Source organism: Homo sapiens, chromosome 6, assembly GCF_000001405.40.
Source record: "Homo sapiens chromosome 6, GRCh38.p14 Primary Assembly".
Classification (NCBI taxonomy): domain Eukaryota; kingdom Metazoa; phylum Chordata; class Mammalia; order Primates; family Hominidae; genus Homo; species Homo sapiens.
The window spans coordinates 83,433,877-83,452,588 of record NC_000006.12 but is presented as its reverse complement, the minus strand read 5'-3'; positions in this window follow the sequence as shown (position 1 = coordinate 83,452,588).

The following is an 18,712-nucleotide window of genomic DNA, read 5'->3' as shown; positions in this document are numbered from 1 at the left end:
CATGCCACCACACCCAGCTGATTTTTTTATTTTTTAGTAGAGACGGGTTTCACCATGTTGCCCAGGCTAGTCTCAAACTCCTGACCTCAGGTGATCTGCCCCTTGGCCTCCCAAAGTGCTGGGATTACAGGCATGAGCCACTGTGCCTGGCCTACATTTACTCTTGCTACAGTTTATCTTGTGTTTCAACTAATTCTTCCAGCCTATGGAGGGTTTTGAATCCTAATTCTTTCCTCTACCATACTAGCTATTCCTTTCATCTCCATGTCATTCACAAATTTAGCTAATATGTTGCTAGGTCTATGAAATGGACATTCTGACAAATATAAAAATATTTCAGAGCCTTGGTAAATTATTCAAGAAATACAATTTGCTAATGAAAAAGAAAAGCCACACTACTATGGATGATTCCCCACCACCACCATCCCGTGTTTCCTAAATCATCTGTATTAAGCATTAATTAATTTTATAATTAGGAAGAAAATTATAAGAAATACATATCACAATATATCATCTATATTTTCATCTAAAAAGTTGGTAAATGTTAAAGAGTAAAGACAATGAAACAGCTGTGTGTCATTCTACTAGAGACTTCCCCATAGGCTGATGCAGGGCTGTTAATTTAAATCCAACTCAACCTGGGCAATAATAATATATTAATAAGTGTATTAACATTATGGTAGCAAAATAATGGTCCAGAAGGATGCAGGCCTTTGATTCAATATCCTCATATTTGTTATAATCTCATCAAAATGAGATTTTCTGGTGAAATTTCTTCTATTTCTTAGTTTAAAAGTAATTTTCTCAAGAATCCCTAGAAATAGTGATTATTTGAGTCAGTCAAACCTTTAAAAAAGCAAAATTTTCTGCCATAGTGTATGCTTAAAAAACTAAACAAAAGTGTTTAGAATTTAAACTTTGAATCTTGGCATACAACTAATACTCAGAGGACAAAGAATGCATTTCTGAGTGTGGGAAAGCATTTGCCTTTGAGAGAAATTTAGAACAAAAAATAACATTTTGCTGGGTGTGGGCAGAGAATTAGTTCTTATTCAGAGAGAAATGCTTACATGATATAATTGTCTTAATACAATTTATAGATAGAACACATTGACCTTGAGAAGTTCAGGTCAACTTGAATATTTATCCTTTTATTTCCCTGGAGATCTGACATTGGAATTTGGTTCTTTTTGTTTTTTTGGTAAAACTTAGCCTAAAACCTAATCTGTGTCTTTTTTTAAAACTTGACAGTAAAGCAGGCAAAAGCAGGGGTCATCACCTTAATAACATCGTCCTCCTCTCCCTGCTTCCCAGCTCTCTGTTGCTAATCTCAAGGCAAGAGTGAGCTGGAACATGGCAGGTAAAGCTGTTGCATAGGCTCAGTTGAGGAAAGAGGGAGACATCTGAGATTAAGAATCATTTTTGGTTGTTAAAACAATGACCAGTTTTCCTTTAAAAGCATGGGCATGGTCTTGATGAACACATTTCTTCTTTCATCGTATCAGATTTCATATCAATGACATTCACTGATTTTTCTTGTCACCTAAGAGAGTTAGTCAGTCGGGATCTTACTGCTTAAGATGGAAATTAGAGAATGTCCTAGGGCATGTACACACCTTCCATAAACTGTCTCTTCAAGTACAGGGCAACACACCTCTTGAACTCCTACTATGCCTCAAGCACCAGGGATTCAAAGATGAACGAAATGTAGGTCTTACTCTTGAAGAACTCACAATTAAGTAGGAAAGATACAGGCAACCTGGATATAAATGCAACTAGAGGAAAACACAATAAAGGTATGCCCATCTTATTGTGTGATCACCAAGAGGGGACACCCAAACCCAAGCCAGAGGGATTCCTAGAGGAAGCAACACACTCTAAGCTCAGCCAATAAAATTCTTAGACCACCATGTTCATCACTGCCTCTCCCCAGCATCTACCATAGTGCCTAACCCATACTAGGTGCTTAATAAATATCTGCTGGACAAACTGAGTTTGCTTTACTCTTGTTAAAAGATTTTATGCAAGATCAGAAGAGCTGCATATTCTCATTAAAGCTTCAAAGAATTCAGATATGTCATACTTATTATCTCCACAAGACTTATCACACTTTATATTGTACACATACTTAACTGTGCTTCTTCTTCTTCTTCTTCTTATTATTATTATTATTATTATTATTATTATTATTATTATTTTGCAGTTGCAAGATTTAATAGATTGAAAACAGCTCCCACACAAAAGGAGGGGACCCAAAGGGGGTAGCCGTTGCCGGCTCGAATGCCTGGGTTTATATCCCGATCATTGTCCCTCCCCCTGTGCTCTCATGCGATAGATTTGATTGGCTATTGTTTTTGCCTAGTTAGCATTTTAGTGAGCTCTCTTTACTACCTGACTGGTCAGGTGTGAGCTAAGTTGCAAGCCTGGTGTTTAAAGGTGGATGTGGTCACCTTCCCAGCTAGGCTTAGGGATTCTTAGTTGGCCTAGGAAATCCAGCTAGTCCTGTCTCTCAGTCCCCGCTCTCAACAGGAAAACCTAAGTGCTGTTGGGGAGATTGGCTGATAACCACTGTAACTGTTTCCTGCTGAATTGGGGTGTAGTAGGGGTCGTGCAGTTGAGATTTCCTCGGGAGGGGTGCCATTGATGTCATCAACATTGGAGCATGGGCTAGTAGGCGGTCCAGGGGTCTGCAGTAGATCTTAGTCAGGGACTGCATCTGGGGCTCCATTTGAAGAACAATGTGTAGTTTTACAGCTTCAATTCTGGAAGAGACAAACTTAACAAGGAAGTTAAAGATACAGGGATTGAAATGTATGGACTGCAGTGTAGGGGATTATTTCTTTGGCACACTTCACCGGCCCTGACTATCTGCTTGATAGTTTTGAAAAGGCCTGGTCCAGTAAATAATAATTTGGCCATCTGATGGGTGCTATCAATGCCTAAGTGAAAGGTTGGGTGAAGGGTTTTAAGTAATTTCCATTGGTTAGCTGCAGGCAAAAGTATTTTTCCTTCTTTGGTGGCTAGCCATTCTGAGGGGAGGAAACTATTTCCTTGTGAGGTCCCCATTCTATTTCTCCTGGTAAGTACTGGGGCTTTGATTCTCGGAGGGGATTACCCCATACTAGGGGTCCTTCTGTAAGCATTTTGAATGGAGGGTCCTGCCTTGTGGCTCTTTTGGCTTCAATATCCATTTGGCCGTTCCTTTCCTTTCCCTTTCCTTTCTTTTCCGATGACCCCAGCAGTGTAAGACTGCCACCTCTTTAGGTTTCTGTACAGCCAATAATAATCTCCTAATGGCTTCCTGATGTTTGATAGGTGTTCCCTCAGAAGTTAGGAAATTCCCTTTCCCTCCATATTGCTTTGTGGGCATGGAGGACTAGGTAAGCATACTTAGAGTCTGTATATATATTTACCCTTTTTCCTTCTCCTAATTCTAGTGCCTGAGTGAGGGCTATTAGTTCTGCCAGCTGAGCGCTAGTTCCTGGAGTGAGGGGATTACTTTCAAGTATTCCATTATCACTGACCACTGCATACCCTGTTTTTTGAAGTCCTTTTTCTACAAAGGAACTTCTGTCAGTATACAAGCTGAGGTCGGGATCAGTCAAGGGAACCTCTAGAAGGTCCCTTTGAGCGGTGTAGGTTTGAGCAATCACCTGTTGACAGTTATGTTCTATCTTTTCTTCATTGTCTGGAAGAAATGTGGCTGGGTTAAGAGTTGCACAAGTGCGCAGTCACAGCACTGGCCCTTCAATTAACAGAGTCTGATATTTAAGCAAATGGTTGTCTGACTGCCACAAGTCTCCTTTAGCAGTCAGTATGCCGTTCACATCATGAGATGTCCACACAGTAAGATCTCTTCCCTGTATTATTTTAACTGCTTCAGATACTAAGACTGCTACTGCTGCCACTACCCGTAAACAATGAGGCCAACCCTTTGCCACTACATCAATTTCCTTACTCAAGTATGCCACGGGTTGCAAGCTGGTCCCTCAAACCTGTGTAAGGACTCCTAGAGCTATTCCTGTTTTTTCTGTGACATATAAAGAAAAGTCTTGCCCCATTGGCAAGCTTAACACTGGGGCTTGTGTTAGGGCCTTCTTTAGGGCCTGGAAAGCCACTTTGGCTTCAGTTGTCCATCTTACTAAATGGGTATTGGCTTTCTGAGTTTCCTTAATTAGTGTATATAATGGCCTGGCTATTTCACTGTACCTGGGAATCCATATTCAGCAGAAGCCTGTTATGCCAAGGAACCCTCTTAGTTGCTTTTAGGGTTTGGGGATGAGGATAAGCCAGTATAGGCTGGATGCGTTCCTCACTGAGGACCCTAGTGTCTTTGGATAATTTTAGCCCCAAGTATTTAACCTGCTGTAAGCAGAGCTGAGCCTTTCGTTTGGAAACCTTGTAGCCACAAGTGGTGAGGAAGTTTAAAAGCACTTGGGTGGGTTGATGGCACAAGGTTTCTGAACAGGGAGCTAGATGTAAATTATCCATGTACCGAAGGACTAGAGTGTCCAGTATGAGAACTGGCACTCAAGTCTTGGGCAATGCCTGGCCAAAGAGATGGGGGCTATCCTTGAACCCTTGGGGTAAAACAGTCCAGGTGAGTTGAGACGTTGGTTTCAAAGGATCTTCAAAGGCAAACAAGAATTGAGAGTCAGGATGTACAGGGATGCAGAAAAAGGCATCCTTAAGGTCCAGGACTGTAAACCACTCTGCTTCCTCTGGTATTTGGGAAAGCAGAGTATAAGGGTTAGGTACAGCTGGGTATAGAGGGACAACGGCCTCATTGATAATCCTGAGATCTTGCACTAACCTCTACTGTCCGTTGGGTTTCTGTACTCCTAAAATTGGAGTATTGCAGGGGCTATTGCATGGTTTTACTAGGCCTTGGGCTTTTAGGTCCTTAACAATCTTTTGGAGTCCTTGTTGGGCCTTGGGTCTAAGGGGGTACTGCCTTTGGTAGGGAAAGGAGGTGGAATCCTTTAGTTTAACTTGAACAGGATGGGCTTTCTTTGCTCGTCCATATTGTCCGTCTGTTGCCCAGACTTCAGGATTCCTTCCTTCCTCAAGCAGGGGACAAAAAACGTGTGTTCCTTCTCCTGTGTTCAGGTGTATAATGGCCCCTGCTTTTGCTAGAATGTCTCTCCCTAACAAAGGAGTGGGGCTTTCAGGCATAATTAGAAAGGCATGTGAAAAGAGTAAAGTTCCCCAGTCACAACTTAGTGGCTGGAAGAAGTATCTAGTGACTGGCTGCCCTAGGACCCCTGGGATAGTGACAGATCCGGAAGACAGTTGTCTGGGACAGGAGAGTAAGACTCAGAAGGCCATGCCAGTGTCCAGGAGAGTTAACCTTCTGGCCCTCAATGGTCAATCATACCCGGGGCTCTGTGAGGGTGATGGCATGGGCTGGCACTTGCCCTGGGCACCCTCAGTCCTGCTGCTGGATCATCTGGTTAGTGGCTTCTGACTCAGAGGACCTTCATCCCCTGGGGCTGTGGGCCTTCCAGTGATTCCCTTGACATAAGGGGCATGGACGAGGGGGCGGCTTATTTCTATTTGGACAATCTTTTTAAAAGTGTCCTTGTAGACCGCACTGGAAGCAAGCCCTATTAGGCATTCGATTTGCCCAACCTTTCCATGTTCCAGAGCCTCCAAAATCTGCTTGCCTGAGGGTCATGACTAAAGCGGTGCCCTTTTTTTAAAAATCTCGTTTGTCCCATTCTGCCTGCTCCTCCTGATCTCTATTATAAAAACTGAGGTTGCCAAGTTCAGTAGGGTTTCTAAGTTTTGCTCTGGGCCTAAGGTGGACTTTTGAAGTGTTTTTTAATGTCTGCAACTGACTGAGTGATAAACTTATCCTTTAAAATTAGTTGGCCTTTAATAGAATCAGGTGCAATGCCTCCCTTAGTCTCTCCAGAAAGGCAGTAGGATTTTCTTCCTTTCCCTGTGTCATAGTGGTCATCATTGAATAATTCATAGGTTTCTTCCTATTTTCCTTAGTCCTTCTTGCATGTAAGTTAGCAAATGTCTGCAGCACCAATCTACATGTTCTGATTCTGCATCCCAATGATGGTCTACACTGGGAACTGCCTGCTGACCTGTGGGGAATTGTCTCTTTCCTCTGTTGTCATCCTATCATTGACCTGACTGAGATACCAGAGATTGCCAAACTCTCGGGCAGCAGTTATTGCGGCACATCTCTCATTTGGGGTTAGTGTCTGATCTAGCATTAAAGTATCTCTCCATGTTAGATCAAAGGATTGTCCTAACCCTTGTAAAACATCAATATAGCCATCAGGGTTATCTGAGAATTTACCTAGGTTTATTTCAATTTGCTTCAAGTCTGACAGTACAAAAGGTACATACACTCTGACTAGGCCGAATTCTCTAGAATACATCTTAGGGGCGTTTTTGCCTTGGGGGAAATGTTTTCCATCTGAAAAAATAACATAGGGTTGCCAGCACCCCTAGTCATTTTCCAGTATTCATTGGTCCTAGAGTGTCCTCTATGGTCTTAATGCTTATTCTTTTCCAGAGTGCATAACCATCCATGGACCTCTGCTTATTGGATTAGTTACTCTCAGTGATGTAGCAGTCCTGCACCTGTTTTCCTGCCCTTCTTGACCACAAAGAAAGGGGTCCGGGCTGCTGGATTCTAGTGGTCCTTTACCAGCGGGCCCAATATTGCCTTTGCACTCAGAGGTGAGTTCTAGACCTGGGCTGGGTTCCTATTTCATAACAACCCAGCTGCCTCATCAAGATGCATTCCTATAAACAACAGTTCTTATACAAATTCGTTTCAGAGAGGGTGTAGGTAACCTTTTGAGTCAGGATTGAGGTAGTCTTTTTGATTCTGTAAGTACTTTAAGGCTTGGCTGAGTGCAAACAGCTCACACGTTTGAGCAGACCAATTATTTGGCAATTTTCCTAACTCTGCTTCCACAAGAGTCTCCCTATCAATTACTGAATACCCATTGTGTTTTTTTTTCCCCTCAATCACCTGGGAGGAACCATCTGTCGTCCTGTCCTGAAGGGAGTTCTTCCTAGGTCTGGTCGTACTTTTGTATGGTCATTAAGATTTAAATCCCCTGTTACGAAATCTGCTAGGTTAAGGGAATTTTCAGTGGTTAATGTTAAATCACTTTTTTCTAAGAGAATAGCCCCATACTTTTAAGATTTTTGAGTTAGTAAGCTACCTTTTTGCTTTTTTGACTTAGAATAATTCTGAACTGGTGAGGTGTGCTCACAATGAGGTTTCCTCTAAAAGTTACTTTTCTTCTTTCTTCTGTTAGCAAAGCAGTTGCTGCTGCAGATTGAATGCATTTGGGCCATCCGTGGGTTCCTGAGATAAGAATTTTTGATAGGAAGGCTACAGGTTGTCAGTGGTCTCCGAGTTTTCAGGCTACGTCCTTGTTTACACTGACAACAAGGTAGTATTGGAGTGTTATAGGGTCATGGAGAAGACCTTCAATTATCAATTACAGGTTTTAAATTTACCCTGGCTTTTAAAGGAATAGGGCACACTGCTTTTTTCTTTACTACTTCTTTCTCTTTCTTTCTTTGACTCCCTTTTTGTCTCTCTCTCTCTCCGCTCTCTGTCTCTCTCTCTTTCTCTTTTCTCCTAGCCCTTTACAAACTTGGGGCCCTGGCAAGGGTGGTGGGGAACAGGTCCCACATAACTGCCCATGTCAAGAGTTGTATGCCTAAATTGGGAGGGACACCAGGGACAAGACTCTCTGAGTTCATAGCCTAGGGGCCTAAGGATGCAGTGTAGAGCTTCCTTAGATCCCTTTGGAGATACAACTTGCAGAGTAAATGAAAGTCTGAACCATTAGTACCTAGGAGGCAGGGATCAGAGGAAGTAGATTCAGAGGTAAGGAGAATTTTGGGGCTACACTTTCAAGAAAGTCATGGTCAGGACCCAGGAGGTATGGGTCAGAAGGAAAGGTAGGGGCACCCGCATGGGCGATTGTTGAGTAGAAACTTCTGGCTGTGCCATGATCTCAACCGGCTAACAGCAGGAGTTCAGGATGACAGCTTTCTGCCTCTAGTCAGCCCTCGGCTTACCCAGATAAACCGAAAGTGGAAGCTGGTTCCAGGCAGACCAACGCTCCCCACCCAGAAGGGTTGGGGGTTGTTAGAAAGCCCTTTCCCAGACAGCCTCACACCTGAGTCTTAAGTCTGGTGGCCACGCTAATAGTTTTTAACCAGCCAACAGGTGCCCAGTATTTTCCTCCAATTCTAAGGAACTATAGGACAGAATAGCAAGTGAAAGCGGTCCAATATTACTCACCACTTTGGAAGTCCCTTTGTGGTCACCAAAATGTTACCAGGGGATCCTTGCTCCTAGACAGCCCAAGATGGTGGCAGGGTGCTTCCAAGATGGTGGCAAGCCTCTTGTTCTCTGACCTGGGGTTCTTGGCCTCACGGATTCCAAGGAATGGAATCTTGGGCCATGTGGTGGGTGTTATAGCTCTATTAGAAGCCCTGGGTCACAGAAGAAAACCATGGAACCCAGCGACTAGTGTTCAGCTTGATTAGGACAAACCCAGGCACTTAGCCATGCACGAACAATGGTGAGCCTTTAGCCCAATCAGGAGCAGTAATGGGCATCTCACTGGATCAGGAGCACAGTGGACACCCTGCTGGAGCCGGAGGGGTGAAAGTCAGTGGCAGGTCTGCAACGGCAGCAAACAGCACTGGTGGATGTCCAGTGAAAGCTCACCTTGAGCCATAACAAACATGGACCAGAAGAGTGTGCAGTTGCAAGATTTAATAGAGTGAAAACAGAGCTCCCATACAAAGGTAGGGGACCCAAAGGGGGTAGCCCAACTGTGCTTATTATTTGCCACGCCACCTCCTCCAGGAATGTGAGCTTTTGATGATGGAATTTGCATTTCTATAGCCTAGAACTGTGGCTGGCATCTAGTAGAAACTCAATAAATATTTGTTGAATGAATGTGGAGTTCAACACTAGTGACACTGATGAAATGAACAATCTAAAAGGAAATTCAATACACTTGGCTTTACTTATTTTGCGGTGGGGGTTACACGAAGCAAATTCATGAGAATCTATATGAGAATTCAGTGACTAAATTCTTGTTGCCTAGGGCAATGGTCCTGGGTTTTCTGAGACTCTCATGAAGCTATTAACTCTCTCTATAGAAAAATTTACACATACATCAAGTTTTGACATTAACAAATATACAAAAATATTTGGTTGAGACCTCTTGACCTAGTGGAGAAGTGGGAAAATTTGAAAAGAATTGATTAGGCTTTTTTGTGAGTTTGCTTTTTATTGGCAGGGGGGCAATTTTAATGTCCATCTTTAAGTGTCCTTTATCTTACTTTATTTGTAAAATGAGAGCTATTGTATGATACATGTGTCAATCTGTATTCTATGATATTATCTAGCTCAATACTGAAACATTTTGAAAAGATTTGATTTTTCTTCCTTCTGACTCCCTTTATATGCTTAGGATGATCTTTTCACTGCTTGCTGCTTGTTTTTTTCCATTGCATCAAATGGCTTAGTAAAGCATGAAGAAAGGAAAGGGAAGGGATGAAGCAAGAGTGTGGGGATTATTCATCTTCCCTTTGTGCAGTTCTGGTTTGCCTGATAAAACTTAATTCCTGCCTTGCCCTGATACTCTACCACACTAAAACCACAGTGGGGGCATAATGGTCTCAGATCTCTCCACAGCCCAATTTAACTGCATGACAGAGCAGTTTCCACAGCAATCAGAGAGGAAAGTACGCTGAGGAGCCTCCTTTTCTGCTCCATTAGCCCCAGAGGATGAACAGCCAGTGGAGGTGGAACGAGCAGGGAGGAAGCTCAGAATTACTTACTCCACATTTTTCTGCATATGGTTCTAGCAAAGAATACTCAAAAGTTTTCTAGTATTCCAGCAAAGAATATCTCCAAATCTAAATATGAATGGCCTGGAAATTTAAAAAATTACACATAAAGGTTTTTGTGTCAATATAAGTTCCACTCTTTTTTTTATTTATTTATTATTATTATACTTTAAGTTTTAGGGTACATGTGCACAATGTGCAGGTTAGTTACATATGTATACATGTGCCATGCTGGTGCGCTGCACCCACTAACTCATCATCTAGCATTAGGTATATCTCCCAGTGCTTTCCCTCCCCCCTCCCCCCATCCCACAACAGTCCCCAGAGTGTGATGTTCCCCTTCCTATGTCCATGTGATCTCATTGTTCAATTCCCACCTATGAGTGAGAATATGTGGTGTTTGGTTTTTTGTTCTTGCTATAGTTTACTGAGAATGATGATTTCCAATTTCATCCATGTCCCTACAAAGGACATGAACTCATCATTTTTTATGGCTGCATAGTATTCCATGGTGTATATGTGCCACATTTTCTTAATCCAGTCTATCATTGTTGGACATTTGGGTTGGTTCCAAGTCTTTGCTATTGTGAATAATGCCACAATAAACATACGTGTGCATGTGTCTTTATAGCAGCATGATTTATAGTCCTTTGGGTATATACCCCATAATGGGATTGCTGGGTCAAATGGTATTTCTAGTTCTAGATCCCTGAGGAATCGCCACACTGACTTCCACAATGGTTGAACTAGTTTACAGTCCCACCAACAGTGTAAAAGTGTTCCTATTTCTCCACATCCTCTCCAGCACCTGTTGTTTCCTGACTTTTTAATGATTGCCATTCTAACTGGTGTGAGATGGTATCTCATTGTGGTTTTGATTTGCATTTCTCTGATGGCCAGTGACGGTGAGCATTTTTTCATGTGTTTTTTGGCTGCATAAATGTCTTCTTTTGAGAAGTGTCTGTTCATGTCCTTTGCCCACTTTTTGATGGGGTTGTTTTTTTCTTGTAAATTTGTTTGAGTTCATTGTAGATTCTGGATATTAGCCCTTTGTCAGATGAGTAGTTTGCGAAAAAAAATAAAAGGATGGAGGAAGATCTACCAAGCAAATGGAAAACAAAAAAAGGCAGGGGTTGCAATCCTAGTCTCTGATAAAACAGACTTTAAACCAGCAAAGATCAAAAGAGACAAAGAAGGCCATTACTTAATGGTAAAAGGATCAATTCAACAAGAAGAGCTAACTATCCTAAATATATATGCACCCAATACAGGAGCACCCAGATTCATAAAGCAAGTCCTGAGTGACCTACAAAGAGACTTAGACTCCCACACATTAATAATGGGAGACTTTAACACCCCACTGTCAACATTAGACAGATCAACGAGACAGAAAGTCAACAAGGATACCCAGGAATTAAACTCAGCTCTGCACCAAGCGGACCTAATACACATCTACAGAAATCTCCACCCCAAATCAACAGAATATACATTTTTTTCAGCACCACACCACACCTATTCCAAAATTGACCACATACTGGGAAGTAAAGCTCTCCTCAGCAAATGTACAAGAACAGAAATTATAACAAACTATCTCTCAGACCACAGTGCAATCAAACTAGAACTCAGGATTAAGAATCTCACTCAAAACCGCTCAACTACATGGAAACTGAACAACCTGCTCCTGAATGACTACTGGGTACATAACGAAATGAAGGCAGAAATAAAAATGTTCTTTGAAACCAACGAGAACAAAGACACAACATACCAGAATCTCTGGGACACATTCAAAGCAGTGTGTAGAGGGAAATTTATAGCACTAAATGCCCACAAGAGAAAGCAGGAAAGATCCAAAATTGACACCCTAACATCACAATTAAAAGAACTAGAAAAGCAAGAGCAAATACATTCAAAAGCTAGCAGAAGGCAAGAAATAACTAAAATCAGAGCAGAACTGAAGGAAATAGAGACACAAAAAACCCTTCAAAAAATTAACGAATCCAGGAGCTGGTTTTTTGAAAGGATCAACAAAATTGATAGACCGCTAGCAAGACTAATAAAGAAAAAAAGAGAGAAGAATCAAATAGACACAATAAAAAATGATAAAGGGGATATCACCACCGATCCCACAGAAATACAAACTACCATCAGAGAATACTACAAACACCTCTACGCAAATAAACTAGAAAATCTAGAAGAAATGGATAAATTCCTCGACACATACACTCTCCCAAGACTAAACCAGGAAGAAGTTGAATCTCTGAGTAGACCAATAACAGGAGCTGAAATTGTGGCAATAATCAATAGCTTACCAACGAAAAAGAGTCCAGGACCAGATGGATTCACAGCCGAATTCTACCAGAGGTACAAGGAGGAACTGGTACCATTCCCTCTGAAACTATTCCAATCAATAGAAAAAGAGAGAATCCTCCCTAACTCATTTTATGAGGCCAGCATCATCCTGATACCAAAACCGGGCAGAGACACAACCAAAAAAGAGAATTTTAGATCAATATCCTTGATGAACATTGATGCAAAAATCCTCAATAAAATACTGGCAAACCGAATCCAGCAGCACATCAAAAAGCTTATGCACCATGATCAAGTGGGCTTCATCCCTGGGATGCAAGGCTGTTTCAATATATGCAAATCAATAAATGTAATCCAGCATATAAACAGAACCAAAGACAGAAACCACATGATTATCTCAATAGATGCAGAAAAGGCCTTTGACAAAATTCAACAATCCTTCATGCTAAAAACTCTCAATAAATTAGGTATTGATGGGACGTATCTTAAAATAATAAGAGCTATCTATGACAAACCCACAGCCGATATCATACTGAATGGGCAAAAACTGGAAGCATTCCCTTTGAAAACTGGTACAAGACAGGGCTGCCATCTCTCACCACTCCTATTCAACATAGTGTTGGAAGTTCTGGCCAGGGCAATTAGGCAGGAGAAGGAAATAAAGGGTATTCAATTAGGAAAAGAGGAAGTCAAATTGTCCCAGTTTGCAGACGACATGATTATATATCTAAGTTCCACTCTTATTTGGAAGTCTTGAATGGATTTGTGTGGATAACAAGTACAAAAACCTTGGATATTGTCAAAACCCCAAAGTGACTTAATAACTTTCCTTCCAAATCCACATGATTTTTTTCCCTCCTGCCCAAAGATTCCCCAGTTTCTCTTCAGGAATTGGACCATGTCTTCAAAATGCATTTTAACACTCTAAATTTCCTCTGGCCTACGTGCTTTCATTCAGGTCTCTCCCTCTATCATGAATGAATCTCTTGTATAACTCTCCTGAGTACAACCTTTCATGCACACATTCTCCCTCTTCCAAGAACCAGAAAATGTGGAGCTTTGTCATTAAATTAGGAGCTTCAGCTTAGAACTAGATTAGAAATGCCAAGTGTCTGGTGACATTACAGATTGATAGTTTGTGCTTAACGCTGGCTTCATTCTTTTTCTGGCAGGTCATTGGATGTTAACCACTAGTTAGAGTGGTTAACAAAGTTAACAAATTAAAAAAGTTTGTGTTTTGACCTGATCTCCAAAACAAAGAATATTCTGTCTAGATTATTCAAATTAAATGAAGCAATTTGATAAGGCTCTTTTGTCTGTGTGATTTTTTTTATTCATTTAAAAAAATATATCTGTTTGAGATAAGAAGCCAAATAATTTAACACGGTACCAGAAACTAATGCCAATTTTAAAGCAAGAATTAGCTAGGCATTCCAAAGAGAAGTTTTAATAGTTTTTGAACCACTATATTTTTGTGTTTGTAAAACTTTACTCAAAAATAAATATTAAATGTTTATTTTCTCTAACTCTAGCATCAAATTTCTCAAAATATGTAGAAAAATACTGAGAAGTAAAAAGCCACGTAATACTGTTGCCTAGCGAATTACTATTAGCATCATGTTGTATTTGAAAGTCAATTATTTATTAAATAAGTTATATGACAATCTGTTCTTTAGGTAGGTCTGGGTTAAATAAATTCAATCTATATTGTTACAAAAAAAGTTAAACTTTCTATAAAGTTTTTAAAAATTTTACTTTTTAATTTTTAAGATCATTTTGGTTTATTTTTAGTCTGGCTTTTTCAAAGTAAGGATAGCAGGGTGGATCCACACAGGTGGAATAAGGTATTCTGAAACTTACCCTCCCTAATTCAGAGTTGCATTATGTGGCTGGCTTCAGTGCCTACTGGCAAGCAGTCAGAGATTTTAAGGTATCCACACTGCAGGAAGGTAGTAAAGTATGATGCCAGATCATCATCTCAAATTAACTTTGGAACAAAAGAAAAAATAGTGTGATTCCTAAAGTTTTATAATATATTGCTTTCATTATATCCTCCCCTGGGGTATGTTCCAACTGTTAAGTGATCTTTTTTTTTTTTCCTGAATGTAAAAGTAATAGATACCTTTTTTTTTTTTTTTTTTTTGAAAACTTCAAACATTACAGAACTACAAAAGGAAACAAACCATCAACAGTTTGGAAGCAGATTTTTCCAAATTGAAAAAATTTTCAGGCCACTTGTGGTGGCCCAGCACTTTGGGAGGCTAAGGTAGGAGGATCGCTTAAAGCCAGAAGTTCAAGTCCAGCCTGGGCAACATTGCAACACACTGTCTCTCTATAAAGAAAATTCTCCATCCATTCAATATTCAGTGTCCAGTATTATTTTTAATATGGTATTCTTTTTTTTTTTTTTTTTTGAGACAGAGTCTCGTTCTGCCACCCAGGCTGGAGTGCAGTGGCATGGTCTTGGCTCACTGCAACCTCCGCCTCCCGGGTTCATGCAATTCTCCTGCCTCAGCCTCCCGAGTAGCTGGGACTACAGGCGCCCGCCGCCACACCTGGCTAATTTTTTGTATTTTAGTAGAGATGGGGTTTCACCATGTTGCCCAGGCTGGTAGCAAACTCCTGAGCTCAGGCGATCTGCCCGCCTCTGCCTCCCAAAATGCTGGGATTACAGGTGTGAGCCACCATGCCCGGCTAAGTTTTTCTCAACTTATTTATTTATGCACATTTTATATTGGTGTCAAGAATTTGTCCGTATCAAGTGCACCACCCTCTCCTTATTTCAGATGAGTTAAAAAAGTGACATAAAAAAGTGTTGGGAACAAACAGTTAAACAGGTTTCTTTATACATCCATGTGTGTGACTGTATTTTCCAAATGGCTGCAACATTTATCCTATCATACAAGCTCTTCTTACACGTAACTTTGACACTCCTCCAATTGGGACAGGCTTTTATGACTGTTTGGATCAAGAGAGTAAGAAAAAAGTGACAATATGTGACCTCTAAGGCTAGGTCACCCAAAGGAAAGGCACATTCTGTCCTTTTCCCTGGAATGGTTGCTCTGAAAGCCTTCGAGCTCCCGGTAAGCACTTTGACTGTCCTGAGGCTGCCATGCTGTGAAGAACTCAAACTGGCCCATAATAAAAGATCATATATGTAGAGAGCCTGAGACTACTTGAGAGATAGAAATAGAGATGAGGGTGGAGATAAGAGAGAGAGAGAGAGACAGAGAGAGCATGCATGGCCACCCCTCACCCCCTTTTACCAGCCACTGTTTAACTGCAACGACATGAGAAACCCTGGGCCAGAACTAACAATCTAAGACCTTCTCAAATTCCAAATGCACAGAAACCATGAGAGATAATGTAATGATTGTTACTGTTTTAAGCTATTAAATGTTGCAGTAATGTGTTACATACTGATAAATAGCTGAAATATCCCATAAGCTTTTCCTAATTTGGGAGTGACATAATTTCCTTTCTTCTTGTAGAATCTGAACAGCTCTACCATTTTCAACCTAGAGAACAGGTTTGGACTGGCACAGGCACTAGTGGCAAGCTTTAGCATGACATACATAGATAGCTGACCCCTGACCTAGATAGAGAAATGATGTTTTGTAGAAGGTATACTGTGGTGATAGCTGGGAAAACATGAAAATTAGAAACAAGCAGTTTCAGAAAATTTTTACTTTGTTATATGAGAGTAAAAAACACAAACAGAAAAATCCAATACAATATTAATTAATTCTACAAGATTAATACTTAACCTTGTCTAGTCACTTAATTCTACTTTCTAAAGCCAAAACCTGTAATTGCTAAAATTGTAAGTAAAATTTATATTCTTAGAATATTTTAATTTCTTTCTTTATTTTCTTTTTTCTTTTTTTTCTTTTTTTTTGAGATGGTGTCTTGCTCTGTTGCCTAGGCTGGAGTGCAGCGGTGCAATCCTGGCTCACTGCAATCTCCGCCTACCAGGTTCAGCGATTCTCCTGCCTCAGCTTCCCGAGTAGCTGTGATTACAGGAGAGTGCCATCATGCCCAGCTAATTTTTGTATTTTTAGTAGAAACAGGGTTTCTCCATGTTGATCAGGCTGGTCTTGAACTCCTGACATGAGGTGATCTGCCACCTCGGCCTCCCAAAGTGCTGGGATTACAGGCATGAGCCACCGTGCCTGGTCAATATTTGAATTTCTTTTAGTGATTGATAGCGTTTTCTTTTTAAAAGATGTAAGTAAGTATACAGAGAAATGCACCTGATTTATTTTTGTCTTTGTTTTCATTTGACAAATACCCATGTAGGGCTTACTATGATGAGGATAAATCATTGGAGGAGACAAAGGGAGGTAAGTAACTTGACAAAGTTGGCAAAATTGGAACAGGAGCCCAGGAACTCTTAGTCCAAAGTCTATATTCTAGATTACTAACTTTAATGCCTTGTTGACAAGTACACCAGCTATTATCTGTCTAAATGAGTATTTTCCCCCTTCAAAATTGAAGTATTTCTGGGAATATCCCCAGTGGGGGCAAATTTATTATGAACATAGAAGCGAAGTGTTACTGAAGCTATCTTTTATTTACATTTGAAAGAATACTTCTACCATTCAGAGAGATTTTCAAGTACTTAAACACAAGACATCCCAAATACCAATAAAAATACAATTTAAAACATTATGAATATTCAAAAATATCAGTCTTCATGTTGCTAATTGCTGAAGTGCACACTCATTTCTTTTACAGTTCGGATTTCATAATTACCTACTTCTTTACTTGTGTATTGGCTGTTTCTCCCCATAAGCTTATGTTTGCATACCAGTGCCTAGTCTAAGGCTTGGCATAGAGGAAGTGTTCAAGAAACATTTTGAATAAATTAAGGGGGAAATAATGTGAGGGAATGGGGAATGGCTTCATAAGATGAACCAGATCTGGAAGGAAAGGAATAACATTTGTTGAATGCTTACTATGGGACAGGCACTGTTCTAAGTGCTTTACATGTCTATCTGTATTATATGATATGACATAGTATAGCTTGTTTATTATCTCAGTAGGATGTAATTTCTAGATGACAGAGAATTTGTATTATTCACTATAAATCTTCCAGGGCGTATATCAGGGGCTGACACATAGTAGGTTAATCTGTAAATATTTATTGAATAAATACACAAAAATCACCTCTTTTAATCCCCATAACAACTTTAAAAGGCAGGTACTTTTAATATCCTCATTTTTCTGATGAGGAAGCTGAGGCCCCGAGGTAATAAGATTTTCAAAGACACAGGGCTGGAAAGATTCAAACCCAGTCAGTCTGATTCTAGACTTCATTCTTGTTATGGATTGAACTGTGTCCCCTGAAAAGATATTTTGAAGTTCTAATCCCTGGTACCTGTGGACGTAAAACTAATATAATCTTTTTTTTTTTTTTTTGAGACAGAGCCTTGCTCTGTTGCTTAGGCTGGAGTACAGTGGCACAATCGTGGCTCACTGTAGGCTTGACCTCCTGGGCTCAAGCAATTCTTCTGCTTCAGCCTCCTGAATAGCTGGGACTATAGGTGCATGCCACCGCACCGGGATAATTTTTTTTTTTTTCAAGTTTTTTGTAGAGACAGGGTCTCACTTTGTTGCCCAGGCTGGTCTTGAACTCCTGGCTTCAAGTGATCCTCCTGCCTTGACCTCCCCGAATGCTGAGATTACAGGTGTGAGCCACAATGCCTGGCCTGAAACTAATAAAATGCTCTTAAAAGAATGTGGTATAGTGTTTACCCAGAGTAAATAAGAAATAATTCCAAAAGAGGAACTGAGAAACATTTCAAATAATGGCAGCTGGCCAGATGCTGTGGCTCACGCCTGTAATCCCAGCACTTTGGGAGGCTGAGGCGGGCAGATCACTTGAGGTCAGAAATTTGAGATCAGCCTTGCCAACATGGTGAAACCCTGTCTCTACTAAAAATACAAAAATTAGCCAGATGTGTGGTGCATTCCTGTAACCCCAGCTACTAGGGAGGCTGAGGCAGGGGAATCACTTGAACCTAGGAGGCGGAGGTCGCAGTGAGCCAAGATTACGCCACTGCACTCCAGCCTGGGCAACAGCGTGAGACTCTGTTGGGGGGAAAATAATGGCAGCAATGTTGAGAGTATGTGCAAAATTTCTCCAGCAGTTTGCTGTCTTGAAGTACAATAGTTATGTGGACATCTGAATTTCAGAAGGTTTATTTAAATGCAGTTTTACTAATTTAGAATTTTATTCCATATGCCATGTTATCAACTGGGATGTGAACTTTTAACAAAATGGTTTGAGGAATGAAACAACTGGGTTGACTATCTGAGAAGAAGGAAAAGAATCAGTGCTTTGTAAAGAAAATCAGTATGTTGCATGCATTTACGGTTATAAATAGCTATATATGTGAAACTAATAAGGTAGTATAACTTGAGTTACTCTGCGATTCATGTAACAACATCTGTATGAACATTACAATAACACAGGTATGTATATTTGATCTTTATTTATTTAAAACATTTAATTAAGGGCCCAAATGCATTGGATTAGACTTGT